General features: G+C 42.6%; 1 annotated feature.

Moving 5' to 3' along the window:
• Window positions 779-848: a silencer, noted in NCBI's record as "silent region_12363". NCBI's record gives its function as "represses an Ori minimal core promoter by ATAC-STARR-seq in GM12878 lymphoblastoid cells {active_cell/tissue: GM12878}" and the evidence as "EXISTENCE:reporter gene assay evidence [ECO:0000049][PMID:35858748]".

The following is a 15,204-nucleotide window of genomic DNA, read 5'->3' as shown; positions in this document are numbered from 1 at the left end:
AGACTCTGTCTCAAAAAAAACAAAAAAAAGAAAGAAAGAAAATGAATAAGAGCTGGGAACCACTGCCCGTTGTGGCTATTTGCTACTTCATCACATCCCCCAACTTTGGTTCTGCAATCATGTATCCTCCATCTCGTCAACCAGTTAGTGGGGTCGGTTGGTTTGTTTGTTGTTGTCTTGTTCAACCCAAGTCCCCTTTGCCCCCTGTAGTCATATTTGTAGCCAAGTTGTTAGGGTATTTAGCAAGGTATGGGAATCTGCTGGAGTAAGCGATTGCTTCATTTTGTTTTCACACCACGTGCTCAAGAATGTCTGAGCAGGTATGACAGTTTTTGTTTTGTTTTTTGTGTGTTTAAATTGCTTAAGATGCTCCAAAGGCTTTGTTTTAAAAATAAATAATAAATATCACAGGGAAAAATGAAGAACTGTATAGGTTTTAGTAAAAATCATGCTTATGTCTTCTTTTCTTCTGGATTTTCCTACATTGTGTTAAAAATAGGAACACACGTTTTTCAGCCTGACACTGTGTCTACCACAGAAATAACGAAAAGCAACGAAAAATGGAAATGAGCAACATGACAAAACCAGTTCCCCTGAGGTTTCAGCTAAAAGAGAAAAAAGGAACAAATAGAACCAAGGCTGTAGCAGCACCTACAATTAGCATAAGCTGCGTCAATGAGGTGTCAAGGTTGCAGAATTAATAAGCCCCAGGTCAGCCACCCAGGTGATGGCCACGTAGACCAACGAAACAAGAAAGTCCCACAGAAGGGAGGCTTGTGGTCAGACAAGATTCTGAGATTCTAAGCAGTGAGACAACTGAAAGTTAGACTGCACATAAACATATTCAAATACAAGCATATCGTGTTTTTTGCGCGTTACTTTATTGCACTTCTCATATATTGCATTTTTTTACAAACTGAAGGTTTTGGGCAATCCTGCTTTGAGCAAGTCGCTCGGCACCATTTTTTCCAACAGCATGTGCTCACTTCCTGTCTCTGTGTCACATTTTGATAAATCTCACAATATTTCAAATGATTTGTTATTATTATAACTGTTATGGTGATCTGCAATCAGTGATCTTTGATGTTTCTATTGTAATTTTTTGAGGGGTGCCATGAACTGTGCTCATACAAGATGGAGAGCTTAATAAATGTGTACGTTCTGACTGCTCCACTGACTGGCCATTCCCCTGTCTCTCCCATTCTCCTCGGGCCTCCCTAACCCCTGAGACACAACAACACTGAAAGTAGGATAATTAATTACCCTATAATGACCTCTAAGTGTTCAAGTGAAAGGAAGTATCTCACATCTCTCCCTTTAAATCAAAAGTTAGAAATGGTTACGATTAGTGAGCAGGGCATGTCGAAAGCTGAGATAGGCCTTTCGCACCAAACGGTCAAGTCATGAATGCAAAGGAAAAGTTCTTGAAGAAAATTAAAAGCGGTACTCCAGTGAACACATGAATGATAAGAAAGCCAACAGCTTTATTGCTGATACAGAGAAAGTTTTAGTGATCTGGATAGAAGATCAAACCAGCCACAACATTCCTTTAAGTCAAAGGAAGCAATCCTCCCAAGCAAGGCCCTAACTGTCTTCAATTTGATGAAGGCTGAAAGAGGTGAGGAACCTACAGAAGAAAAGTTAGAAGGTAGCAGAGGTTCATGAGGTTAAAGGAAAGAAGCCATTTCCTTAACATAAAGGTGCAAGGTGAAGCAGCAAGTGCTGATGGAGAAGCTGCAGCAAGTTATCCAGGGGATCTAGCTCAGATCACTGATGAAGGCAGCTACACTAAACAAAAGATTTTCAAGGAAGATGGAACAGCCTTCTATTGGAAGAAGATCTTATTAGGACTTTCGTACCTCAAGAGAAGAAGTCAATGCCTGGCCTCAAAGCATCAAATGACAGGCTATTCTTTTGTTAGGGGCTAATGCAGCTGGTGACCTTAAGTTGAAGCCAATGTTCATTTACCATTCCTAGGAACCTTAAGAATTATGCTAAATCTACTCTGTGCTCTACAAAAGGAACGACACATTCCATTTGTATGCTGGGTGACATCTGTTGACAGCACGGTTTACTAAATATTTTAAGCCCACTGTTGAGACCTGTTCGGAAGAAAACGTTCCTTTTAAGATGTTATTGCTCATTGACAATACACCTGGTCACCCAACATCTCTGCTGGAGATGTTAAAGGAGATTAATCTTGTTTCCATGCCTTCTAACACCACATCCATTCTGCAGGCCCTGAAGCAAGGAGTAATTTCTACTTCAAGTGTAATGATTTAATAAATAAATTATGTAAGGCTATACCTGCCATAGATAGTGATTCCTTAGGTGGATCCGGACAAAGTAAATTGAAAACTGGAAAGGATTCACCATTGTAGGTGCCATTAAGGACAGTTGTGATTCATGGAAAGAAGTCAAAATATCAATATGAACAGGAGTGAGAGAAATTTATTCCAACCCTCATGAATGACGTTGAGGGATTCAAGACTTCAGTAGGGGAAGTCACTGCCAATGTGATAGAAATACCAAGAGAACCAGAATTAGAAGTGGGGCCTGAAGATGTTGCTGCAATCTCATGGTAAAACTTGAATGGATGAAGAGTAGCTTCTTATGGATGAGCAAAGAAAGTGGCTTCTTGAGATGGAATCTACTCCTGGTGAAGATGCTGTGAACATTGTGGAAACGAATACAAAGGATTTAGAATATTATATAACCTTCATTGATAAAGCAATGGCAGGATTTGGGAGAAATGACTCCTATTTTGAAAGAAATTTTACTCTAAGTAAAATGCTATCAAACAGCATTACATGCTACAAAGAAATCTTTTGTGAAAGGAAAAGTCGATTCATGTGGCAAACTTTATTATTGTTTTAAGAAATTACCTGAGCCTTCAGCAACCACCACCCTGATCAATCAGCAGCCATCAACATCAAGGTAAGAGCTTCCATAAAAGCAAAAAGATTACAACTCACTGAAGGCTCAGATGATCATTAGCATTTTTTAGCATTAGAGTATTTTTAAATTGAGGTACATACATTGTTTTTCTAGGCATAATGCTATCACACACTGAATAGACTACAGTGTAGAAAAAAACATTACCTTTATGTATGCCCTGGGAAACCAAAAAATTGGGGTGGCTTTCTTCATTGTGATATTCATGATATTCCTGAGGTATGCTTGTAGTTAATACCAGGTAATTGGGCTTTTGAAAACTAGTGCACAGTCCTAGTCTGGACTAGTCCTAAGAAAATCAGTGAAATTTACTTCAGATGATAAAAGGAAAGTTAAGAATCCTTTCCTCAATGGCTCCCACTTAGGCAACTCTGTCTGATGTCCTCCCCTCCACCCCCCCACTGCTGTGGTCTTTGAAGGATTCCCACAAAGCCCTGATCTCAGCAAAGGACTAATTCAAGATGCAATTGCTCTAATCACATAAGCCTAACTGCATATCCCTTATTACAAAAAAAGGCTGACCCTGTGACATAGTGTTCTGGGTTCTTTAAAGATACATCTCAAACACTCATGCAAGTGTGTGCTGTGTTACACTGCATCTGGGCTAATTTTAATATGGAAAGAATACTATGCATTTCTTTTTTTTTTTTTTTTTTTTTTTTTGAGATGGAGTCTCGCTCTGTTGCCCAGGCTGGAGTGCAGTGGTGTGGTCTCAGCTCACTGCAAGCTCCACCTCCCGGGTTCACGCCATTCTCCTCCCTCAGCCTCCCAAGTAGCTGGGACTACAAGTGCCTGCCACCACACCTGGCTAATTTTTTGTATTTTTAGTAGAGACGGGGTTTCACCGTGTTAGCCAGGATGGTCTCAGTCTCCTGACCTCGTGATCTGCCCACCTCAGCCTCCCAAAGTGCTGGGATTACAGGCGTGAGCCACCATGCCCGGCTGTGCATTTCTTACTAGGCAAATGGCAACCTCTGCTGGGGCAGGCGACTGTGTTACCTTTATCACATGGTCTTCTCCATCCCCGTTTATACCACTGCATGTGTCAATTGGAGAGACACAGATTTAAAATATCAGTTTTTGAAGGTAGTTGCATTTCAGTAGAAGACTCCTGAGGTTGGGAAAAACTGGAAGTGTCAAAGGAATGCATCTCTAATAGCGGAAAGATAGGCATCGGGCTGGTGCTTTTGGTGCTATTTCCCCTGTTTGCTCCTCTCTACCTCCCACAGTGATGTGGCCTCTGGGCCAATCCTAGTCCTGTAGTATCTTTCTGAAAATAAATCTATTTCCCTCCTTCAAGCTCAGGAGAGATAAGCAATGAATTGCCAGTTGACATAGTTCGGGCACTTGTCCTCTCCAAATCTCATGTTGAAATCTGATGCCTAACATTGGAGGTGGGGCCTGGTGGGAGATGTTTGAGTCATGGGGGTGCATCCCTCATGAACAGCTTGAAGCCATTCTTGCAGGATTGCATGTGTTTTCACCGTTAGTTCCCACAAGCTCTGGTTGTTAAAAAGAGTCTGGCACCTCCATCCCCTCTCTTTCTTGCTTTCTTTCTTGCCATGTGATGCACTGGCTCCCGTTCCCCTTATGCCATGATTGGAAGTTCCCTGAGACCCTCATCAGAAGCAGATGTTAGTGTCATGCTTCTTGTACAGCCTGAAGAACCATGAGGCCAATATACCACTTTTCTTTACAAATTGCTCAGCCTCAGATATTCCTTTACAGCAACACAAAATAGACTACTCTACTCTTCTTCATACAGGGGAAGCCAGGAGTGCCCCCAGACTGTCTTCCAACCTGCCCTGGGTTCCTCTGTGGCCTGGAATAAGACAGATGCTGGCAGACTGCCTCCAGATGCTCTCCTGATTGACACAAACATCAGCAACCATCTCCTCCATTTTGGTTCAAGGCTAACTGCCTCATGCCTCAACAAAACCAAAATGCACAATCAAGCAAAGGATTTGGGGCCTGGCCAGCAGGAGTCATTTCTTAGAAGCACAGGCCATCCCATGCAGCTCAGTGGTTGGCAGGGGAGCCCTAATGCCAATTTATCTGCCCACACCCTCATCGTAGCATCTTTGTCCTCAACCTGTAACCATCCATGCATGTTTCCATCAATCTGTCTCCCTGTTTGCTCCCTCTAGTGAGGGTAGTATAAAATAAAGTTTTTTTGAAAGAGGGAAGTATTGTGGATGAGCCCAGAATTTCTAGTTTAAACCTGAAGAAGACTGATACCATAAATAAACACCCTCCCCACCTATACAAGCACATAAGTCTCCTTTTAGGGTTGATTAATAGAAAACAGACTAAGAGAGATTTCTCACCTACTCTGTGTTCTCTAAACCATGGGCAAGAAAAGGGTCCCACCCAGTGCCTGGCAGCAGAAATTGAATATAATTTCATGGTCAGTGAATGCAAATAGGCACTTGTGAAGGGTGGCTTTATAAAAGTCTAATCCCAACCATGAGAGTCTTCTCCCAGGACCCTCTCCAGCTCTGTCACAAGATTGTCTATAGGGTCTCTCATGGTCAGCCTGTGACAACACCTGTGGATTAGTTCATTCTTACATTGCTATAAAGAGCTACCTGAGACTGCATAATTTATAAAGAAAAGAGGTTTAATTGGCTCACAGTTCTGCAAGCTGTACAGAAAGCAGGGCTTAGGAGGCCGCAGGAAACTTACAATCATGACAGAAAGCAAAGAAGGAGGAGGCACACCTTACTTGACCAGAGCAGGAGAAAGAGGGTAAAAGGGGAGGTGCTACACACTTACAAGCAACCAGATCTCATGGCAACTTGTTCACTATCACATGACCAACAAAGGGGAAGTTCATCCCCATGATCCAATCACCTATCACCAGGCCCCTCCTCCAACACTGGGGATTACAATTCAACATGAAATTTGGGCAGGGACCCAAATCTAAACCACATCAACCTGCATCAGTCTCAACCAAGCTGTGGTTCAGGAGTGGAGTCCACCAAGACAACTGCTCCCTGGGCAATGCAGGCCGTGTCCTAATCCTTGTCAACCCTTCTACTACCACATGACCCCCAGGTTTTAGGGTCAACTTTTTAAAAAGTTCCATTATCCCTTTGCCTCTGGCACTAGAGACCCATGTCTAGAATCTGTGAGGGCTGCCACATGGGCCTGAGATCAAAAACCTTAGTTCTTCCTCCGCTTGAGGGCACACGCAGTCACTGGCTTAGTCTGGTTTGCGTTTACTTGCTTAGGTGTTTGACATTCAAAGTATTCATTTGTTAAATGCAAGCATTGAAATCTACTACAGTTTTTGTCTTTACTTCCGTTTGTAACCTATTGAAACCCCTATAACTGGAAATAACTCTGACCTCTTCATCTTATGAAGACCCCATTTCCTTACTGAACATGTAAAGGGACCCACATCTGCCATGTTCATAGCTACACAGTACCAGGCTGGTGGTAGGTGATCAGGAAACACCCTTGATTCAACATCTCTCAGATGGCAACCAAGTCCCCATTATTTCTGGGCTCAAATACCAACTAGCAGGTTCTTTCTTCATTAATTCACTCCAACACACTCAATCCTAAATTATCTCTCTCCTTCTTAGTGAAAGACTAATTTCACTCACACACACCCCTCCCAGATCCTCATTCTCTGATCCACCACTGGCATTCTCCTGTCTTTGTACATGACTGTCTTCTCTGCCAACTTTGCAGAGTTGCCATGGCAAAATGGCAAATTGTCAGTCTTGCCTGATGATGAAAAACATAAAGAGCCAAATAGCACCCCATAACCCACAAGGAAGCACTGAACTCTTTGCAGATAGAGGTTAAGTTCTAAGACTACCCTTTATATCTAAAAAGGGGGAGTTGCCTACAAATTCACAAATCCTTCTTTCCCAATTTACCAAGTGTGATGCTTGTCTCCAAAGACAGCCACCGTCAATTCCTTTCCTCTTCCCATCAAGAAGTGAAGACTAGGTCTATTACTCCCTTCAATCTGTGCGGCTGTGAGGAATCGAATGGGGTGATGGAGATACAGTACCAGCTCTGGGCACAGCCCTTAAAAGGGTTGGCACTTTCTGCTTTCTCCCTCTTGGAGCCCTAAGCCACCATGTAAGGCCAGGTTATGCCGATAGACAGAGGCCATGTGGGGACATCACTGAAGTGCCATATGTGAATCAAGAAACCACCTTGAATGTCCTGGCCTCCGTCCACTCCAGTCCTCCCATCTGAGGCCCCAAACATTCTGAAACAGAGATGAGCTGTCTTCTCTGTGGCTCTTCCAAATTTCTTACCCATAGAAACATGAAAAATAATAAAATAGATGTAAGGCACTAGGTTTTAGGGATAGTTTGTTATACAGCAATAGATAGCCAGAACACCAATAAAGGATTCACATTAAGGAAATATTTCAATTTCTGGGCTAAGAATTGTATTTGTAGGCCAGACACAGTGGCTCGCTCCTGTAATCCCAGCACTTTGGGAGGCTTAGGTAGGCAGATTACTTGAGGTCAGGAGTTCGAGACCAGACTGGCCAACACAGTGAAACCCTGTCTCTATTAAAAATGCAAAAAAAAATTAGCCAGGTATGGTGGTGGGTGCCTGTAATCCCAGACGCTTGGGAGGCTGAGGTGGGAGGATCGCTTGGACCCAGGAGGCAGAGGTTGCAGTGAGCTGAGATCATGCCATGGCACTCCAGTCTGGGTGATAGAGTGAGACCCTGTCTCAAAAACAAAAAACAAAAAAAACTCACAAAGAATTTCATTTCTATGCCAATATCAAAAACAAGGAAACACTGCCTTAAACATATCAGAGTTTTATTTTCTCTCACATAACATGAAGGCAAGGCCTCCCAGCATTACCTTGGCAGCCTAGAGCCCAGGTCTCCACAATTCTCTTGTTTTTCCTCATGCATCCAGCTCCAGCCACCAGTATTCCAGGAATCAGGAAGGAAGAAGAAGTGGTGCCTTTATCAGAAAAGCATAACTTTCCTAGAAATGCCCAGCACGGGTTCCTATTTATATCTCATTGGCCAGAACTATTTTGCACAGCCACCCCACACAAAAGGGACAGAGAAATACAAGGCTTTAACTGGCAATGGCCACACTGAACAAAACTGGGGTTTGGTTAGAGGAAAGAATGATACTGGAGAGGCAACTAGCTGTCTCTGCCATATTCAATAAGGAAATAGATTACATTAGCCAAAGTTCAGAAACAGAGCTGGCTTCTGGGTCAATCCATTGATGTCATCAAAAACCCAGGAATTTCCCATTTCCCCACTCCGCTGTTTGCAGCATTTGCTTCAGCCTAAGGCCAGCTTTCCTCCATGTTATGGCTAGCTGCCAGTAGCAATCGGGCTACATGCCTCCTGTTCATATCCAGCAGGAGAGTCTGGCTTCCCCTCCATCTCTTTTAAGAGCTAGGAAGTAAGGGGACACTTTTAAGCATAGACATTAAACTGTGCCTGATACATACTGAAGACCATTCCTTATTCCTCAGTCAACAGGGATCTCATTGCCAACAAAAGACTTTCATTCACAAGTTTTGGTTAGGTTAAAAGTGAGGGGTCTGCAGTCAGTTGGCCTAGGTTTATATCCATCCTATCGCTTTTTGAGCTATGTGATCTTGAGCAAGTTACTTAGGCTTTCTGAGTAAAAGACTACCTTCTTTGTGTGTAGACAGAGAAGAGCTTATAGTTTCTACTGGTTTAGGTTTCATGCAAGGAATAAATAAGACAATACACGTAAAGTACTTAGCATGGTACCTGGAAACCAGTGAACATTAAATAGATTTTGGTGATTACGATTATGCAGAATGTTTCCCACGAAGCCCCGTGTGAGTTTTGCCAAGAGAGAAATAAATGTAAATCAGCGATGCACAACTCTTCCTTCTCTTTCCTTTGCAGTTTAATGATATCAACTTCTGCATCCTGAAAGACTCAGATATTTTGTTTTTACAAGTCTTTCTTCAGAAATGACCTGTTCCATCTCTCATGCTGCTACAGGTAAACTTGAAATTTAAACCGTTCATCTGACACCTGGACTTATCTGAAAATTTACTACCAAACAATCCATTGGAGGACCCCATAATTAATCCAGTTCCATCATTACCACATCTCTACTAAACATATCATTAAACAGCTGAAACAATGCTTTCAAGGGTATTTGTTCACAATTCATTTCAACAAGAATTTAAGCACCTAATAACCAAATTAGATTATCTAGACAGGAACTCCACCAATTGTACCATAGTCAGCACATATAATTACCCCAAAAACTAAATCAACAATATTTTTTCAGTTTGACTAAACAGTATTAAACAGATCATAAAACACAGGAAAGGAAACTAATTGCTAGTAGTTATTATTAACAATAACAGTTGGTATCACCATAATGTACTAGCTCAGGCACCATGCTAAATGCTCACTAACATTGTAGAGACTTACTATTATGATTCCCATTTTACAGATGAGGAAACTGAGAATCTAAGAAGTTGAGATCAGAGTTCCCAAGTAGCAGAATCAGAATTAGAAAATCTAGGTCCATTCTGACTCTAGAGCACAAGCTCTTAAACAGCAAACACACCAGTAGATGATTGAGCTCTTTAGAGAAACCTCTGGAAGGCACTGAAATTTTATCTCCTGGTAGAACAGTAGGTGCAGAAACCAAAGGTTTTGGAGTCAGACAAATGTGAATCTTGATTCACTGTGTCATGTAGTCTTAGTTAGTCTTGACCTTGGTCAAGATGTGTAAACTTTCTGAGGCTTGGTTTTCCCATCTCACAGGCAAGGCAAGGAGATAGCAATGCAAGCATGAGCCAGTGCCCAGGCTAGCGCCTGCCACAACATCAGCCCCCAGAAGCATTAGCTTCCCCTCCTCATTTTCCTTCCTCTTCCTGTCTAATTATCATACTCCCGTGTGAAAAAAGTCAATAATTTTTTTTTTTTTTTGAGACGGAGTCTCGCTCTGTCGCCCAGGCTGGAGTGCAGTGGCTCGATCTCAGCTCACTGCAAGCTCCGCCTCGCGGGTTCACGCCATTCTCCTGCCTCAGCCTTCCGAATAGCTGGGACTACAGGCGCCCACCACCACGCCCAGCTAATTTTTTTTTGTATTTTTATTAGAGATGGGGTTTCTACTAAAACCTAAAAAACTATTTTTAGATTGAGACCTTGTTAGCCAGGATGGTCTCAATCTCCTGACCTCGTAATCCGCCCGCCTCAGCCTCCCAAAGTGCTGGGATTACAGGCGTGAGCCACCGCGTCGGGCCAGAAAGTCAATAATTTAAGCAAGATTTATCACTGGCTCAGGCCTTGGTCCAATTCTAAGAGTCAGTATTCACAATGTTTTTTGAATTATTAAATGTTAATAAACAGTACATGCCTACACAATCAGTGTGTTTCTTCTAAACAATGCCTTATTAAGAACTCTCATTTTAATTATTCAAAAGTGAAATTCATCATCAGACTCCAGTCCTGTACAGTTTCTGTGCTGCATCCACTCAGGGCAACATGGGTCACAAGGCCAACCTCAATCCCTCTCTGGCCATGCACCTTTGAGACTGGAAGCAGGAAGGGGTCCCTCTAGCAGATCAGTAGCCCAGGAGAGGTCTGGGGATAAGAATGGGAGATGCAATCAGTCAACTCAGGAGAAAGCCAATTAGAGTGAACATGTGTCACTCCTTTGACCCACCCAACACCTTTGAATGTCTTCTCTCTAGTGGGGAATTCTCCACCCTATGAATTCCTGTCTTCCCTTGTGGAAAACACTGATTGTTAGCAGCATGACCACAATAATCCTCTTATCCCCATTTGCTGTCCCTTTGCAATGTGATTTTGCTTTTCCTCCCATCAGGAGCTGGTATCTATTACCTGACCCCTTGAGTCTGGGTATAGGTAATGTTTTGTGACTTTGAAACCTAGGCCTCAAGAGATGTTGCAATTTCCATTATCACCCTCTGAGAACTCAGTGCTGCCATGAGAGGGAACTTAGGATAGTCTCCTTGAAGATGAAAGCCAATGCAGAAAGAGAAGCCCAGACAACAAGACCAACCACCAGTCATGGAAGTGAGGCCACCATAGACCATCCAGGCCTGGGAGAGTGGCCAGGTGGTGCAGCCACATGAGTGACTCCAGGCAAGAAACGTGAACGAACTGTCCGGCTAAGCCCAGCACAACCTGCTACTCATTAATCATGAGCAAATAAAATAGTTGTTACAAGCAACTTCACTTGGGGGCAGTTTACTACACAGCAATAAATGACTGAAACACTTACATCCCAATCTTCCTTACAGCTATAAAGGAAGTGTAAATGTGATGTGATCTAGGTCCCACCAATTAGACACTCGTCTTCAATCACTGTAGGCTTTTGCCAGAAGCTAACGGATTAAAGAAGCACCTGTCAAGAGTAGAGGCAACTATATCTGGTTTCCACAGGCAGTGACAGAACTTCTAGCAGTAATGTTTAGTGCCCAGGATCAGTAGTGACATCTCTGTGGCCAATGGGGGTGGCAGCAGTGTCCACACCCAGCTCTGTGGACAACGTGGGCCATCATTTCTGGCTATGTGGCCACCAGCCTGATTTTCTGGCCCCTCTAAGGACTCTCTGAGCTAACTGTCTCAATTTGAGTTCCCTCAAAAGCAGAGCCTAAGGCTCAAATACGGGTGCAAGTAATTTATTTGGTGATCCCAGGAATCAGGAGTAAAGGAAAGAGGAGAGTAAAACAGAAAAGGAAGAAAAGTTAATGAGTTGCTGGGGCTCAGTCCTAGTGGGGACCCACCGAAGAATCATGCAGAATGAAATGCAAAATTCTCCCTCCAAAGGATAAATGTCTGAAGCGTCTATCCCCTGGCTTCCAACCCCATTTGTTGAGGTTGCACTTGGCAGTGTTGACTCCCCAGTACTGCCAGGCTGCCCTCTGTAAGAACTGGGCAAACTTCATGGCCTCAGGAGAAGCCCTGAGTCAGAGAAGAGCATGCAGACAGAGAACACGGGGTGAGATGCAATTTGTGGGCAGCTGAACTAACTACCACAGCCACAGCTAACATCAGACAGAGGTCAACCAAGGGGACATGACATGAGCACAGGAAGCATTTGTTATGCTACTGAACATCTGGCTATGGGTGCTAATGCTTAACAACTGGCTTTCCTGGGGCAAGATGAGGAAGAGGGCTCTGAATTGTATTGTTTGCCAATTTCCATGGTGTAAATACCCCTACCATGGCTGATTTCAAGCTAACAATGTGACACCAACCAGTTTACAAAGCTCCTGGAATTGTAACAATTTAAGTCCACCCATCTGAGGCTCTGGAGCTTATACTGGCTCCAGCCCAGCACTGCTTACAATCTTCTAATAAATTCCTATTCTGGTTAAGCTCACTTAATGTTTCAAACTAAAAACCTGGGTAACTATAATCAATTGCAAGAGGGAAGATTACAAAGGTTGGGAATCAGAAATTGGGCAAAGACCAATAGGTATGCCTTCTGGCATCTTTTCCCTGGTCAAAATGACACCAAGCCTTCCACTACATCTCAGGGCATAATTCCTGATCCCATCCATACCTAGGGAGTGGAAATCACCCACAAATGTCATTGCAGTATAGGCAAAAAATGTGAGGCAAAGGGCTGGGTAGACAATAACAGAAAGTCTTCCAGTGATAAACTATTCTCAGTGTCAGGAAATTCTTCTTTGCCTGAAAACCAAATCCCCCACACAGCAGTTTAAATGTTTTTCCACCAGTTTTATTCTTGGTAGGGGCAGTACAATTATCTACAACCTCTGTAGGATAACCTTTCAGGTACTTGAAGGCTTTTCTTTTCCAAAGGAAATAGTCCAACATTGGCCTTTTGTCAGAAATTCAATTTTCTGATGCTTTAACCTTCTCTGGGGCTTTCTTTCTAATCTTGTTCAAGTTCAGCATGTGCTTATTAGCTGTAGAACCCAGACCTGGACCCAGGCTTCTTGCTGAGTTTTGACTGGAGAGAGAAAAGGGAGGAAAGGGGGACCTCTTAGGGACTGGCCATCCCATGTTTATTTATAGATTCCACCATCACTGAGTTCTTTTTCCAATCCAGCAAATAGCCAAAACAGGGCAAGGAGGCAATTGTAGGGACAGAAGTGGTCACTTTTCTGATGGTGACCATCTCCCCTTTATCAGAGCAGAGGTCCCTGAGCAGGAGTAACAGCTAGTCCTCTCTCGCACCTTCCCAGGATAAAGCCTGCCTTTCACAGCCCGCCCTACCGCTACTTGGGCTCCCTGCAAAGCCTACTTGCATCAAGCACCAGGATGCTGGAATATGTTTAACTTTTCAAAAGATATCCCCAAGGGAGAGAATTTAGTAAGTCTTAGAAGAGACAGTAAACTCAAGAATGCATCACAAAATTTCAAGGCATTCTCACCTATTTCCTTCACACTAATTTATGGATGTCCAGATTTAGACCAAAATGGTGGCCTGAAACAGCACCAGCCAATGGAAATAGTTGAGTTAATAGGACACCCAGTTAAATTACAAATGTGTAATTTACATTTGTGTAATTTTACATTTTCTAGTAGCCATATTTTTTTAAAAAAAGAGAAACAGGTAAAATTAATTTTAATAATATATCTTACTTAACCCAGTATATCCAAGATATCTTTTTAATGTGTAGTCAAAATGATAATATTTTAAAATTACTATGGAGATACTATACATTCTTTTCTCATACTACACCTTCAAAACCTGGTGTGTTTTTACATGGCATATCTTAATTCAGACTAACCATATTTCAAGAACTAGCGGCCACCGTATTTGATAGCACAAGTTTAAACCAAAATGCCCCAAATGTGGTGCCCAGACCAGCCACATCCGCATCAACTGGGAACTTGTTAGAAACACAAAATTCCCAGCCCCACACCAGAACTACTGAGTCAGAAACTCAGCATGCAGCTCAGCGATTTGTGTTTTCACAAGCCCTCCAGGTAAATGTGATGTACACTTATTGGTCTATGTGCCGCCAAATCAGAAATGATTAATCTGCTTTTACTTCATGGCATCACTAATATCTAAGGGGGGATATGAATCATTAAGAAACCAACTCTTCCTGTTTTACTGTTGCTAGGAAGCCTAAAATAGCAAATTTGGTTCCCATGAGCTATGTTTATTTTTATTTTGTGCCAATTAAGTGAGTTTTTCGTGGGTGTGCTCCTCTTTTTCAAATAATCCATTGGAACCTTCTTTCCCCCTTGGGTTTGGATTTTATCCCTTCATCCTCTTGGCTTTTTTACAGTAATCCCAACTACACTTATCCTTTCATATCATACACACCTAGGGTTACCAGATTTAGCAAATAAAAATACAGGATACCCAGTTAAATTTGAATTTCAGATAATTGATGAATAATGTTTTAGTATAAGTATGTACCATGCAATTCTTCCCAGAAATTGCAAGGGTCATACCTATGCTAAAAAGTATTGGGCAAATATTGCATGAGATACGCTAGAGATTATTTGTTTTTTTTTGGAATTCAAATTTAACTGGGCATCTTGTATTTTACTTGGTGAATCTATTCACACCCTCCTACATCCTTCTGACTCCAGATTCCTCCAGTGATTGGATCACAAAGGCCTCTTGGTCAACTGGGGTGAGAGCTGCAGAGGAGACTGCAGACCTGGTGTCTCATTCCCCAACAACTTAAACTAGAACAAAATAATTTTGGACAAAACCAGCTGCCCAGATGTATTCCTGGGCTTTTCAAAGATGAGTCCTCTGGCTTCCAGCGAGTGCCAGCTGCCTCTTGGGATCAAGCTCTCATTAAAAAAAAAAAAAAAAAAAAAAAAAAAATCAAATCAACAAAGAGAACACTGTCAGTCAATCAGAGCTGAGCAAATGCACCCACTTAGCTCGCAGCTCAAATTGGGTCTACAGATTTGCGCTATTGAAAAGGAAATTGGCCTCACTTGCTGCGAAACAGCCCCAAAGTGGGGAAATTAATACAGAAGACACCAAGTCATAATGAAATCTGGCAACAGCAGTGGATTGTGTGGCATCATCCAATTACAGCAAACATGGACACTGCCCAGGGGAGAAGCCAGTCTGGACACCAAGCAAAATTAGAACCCTACACAGTAATTACTAGTGCAGACAGGAAATTTGTTGGGATGTTACAAAAATCAGAAAGTTTGATAAATCCGAACACTCCAACAAATGCACAGAATCACTACTCCACACAGCTCCAAAATAACTGTTCCTAATACCTACCAGACCGTGAGCTCCTCCTATGGGCAAAGCC

The sequence above is a fragment of the Homo sapiens genome, chromosome 2 (genome assembly GCF_000001405.40).
Source record: "Homo sapiens chromosome 2, GRCh38.p14 Primary Assembly".
Lineage (NCBI taxonomy): Eukaryota > Metazoa > Chordata > Mammalia > Primates > Hominidae > Homo > Homo sapiens.
Note: the sequence above shows the minus strand (reverse complement) of the source record. Positions and strands in the feature narration are given on the sequence as shown.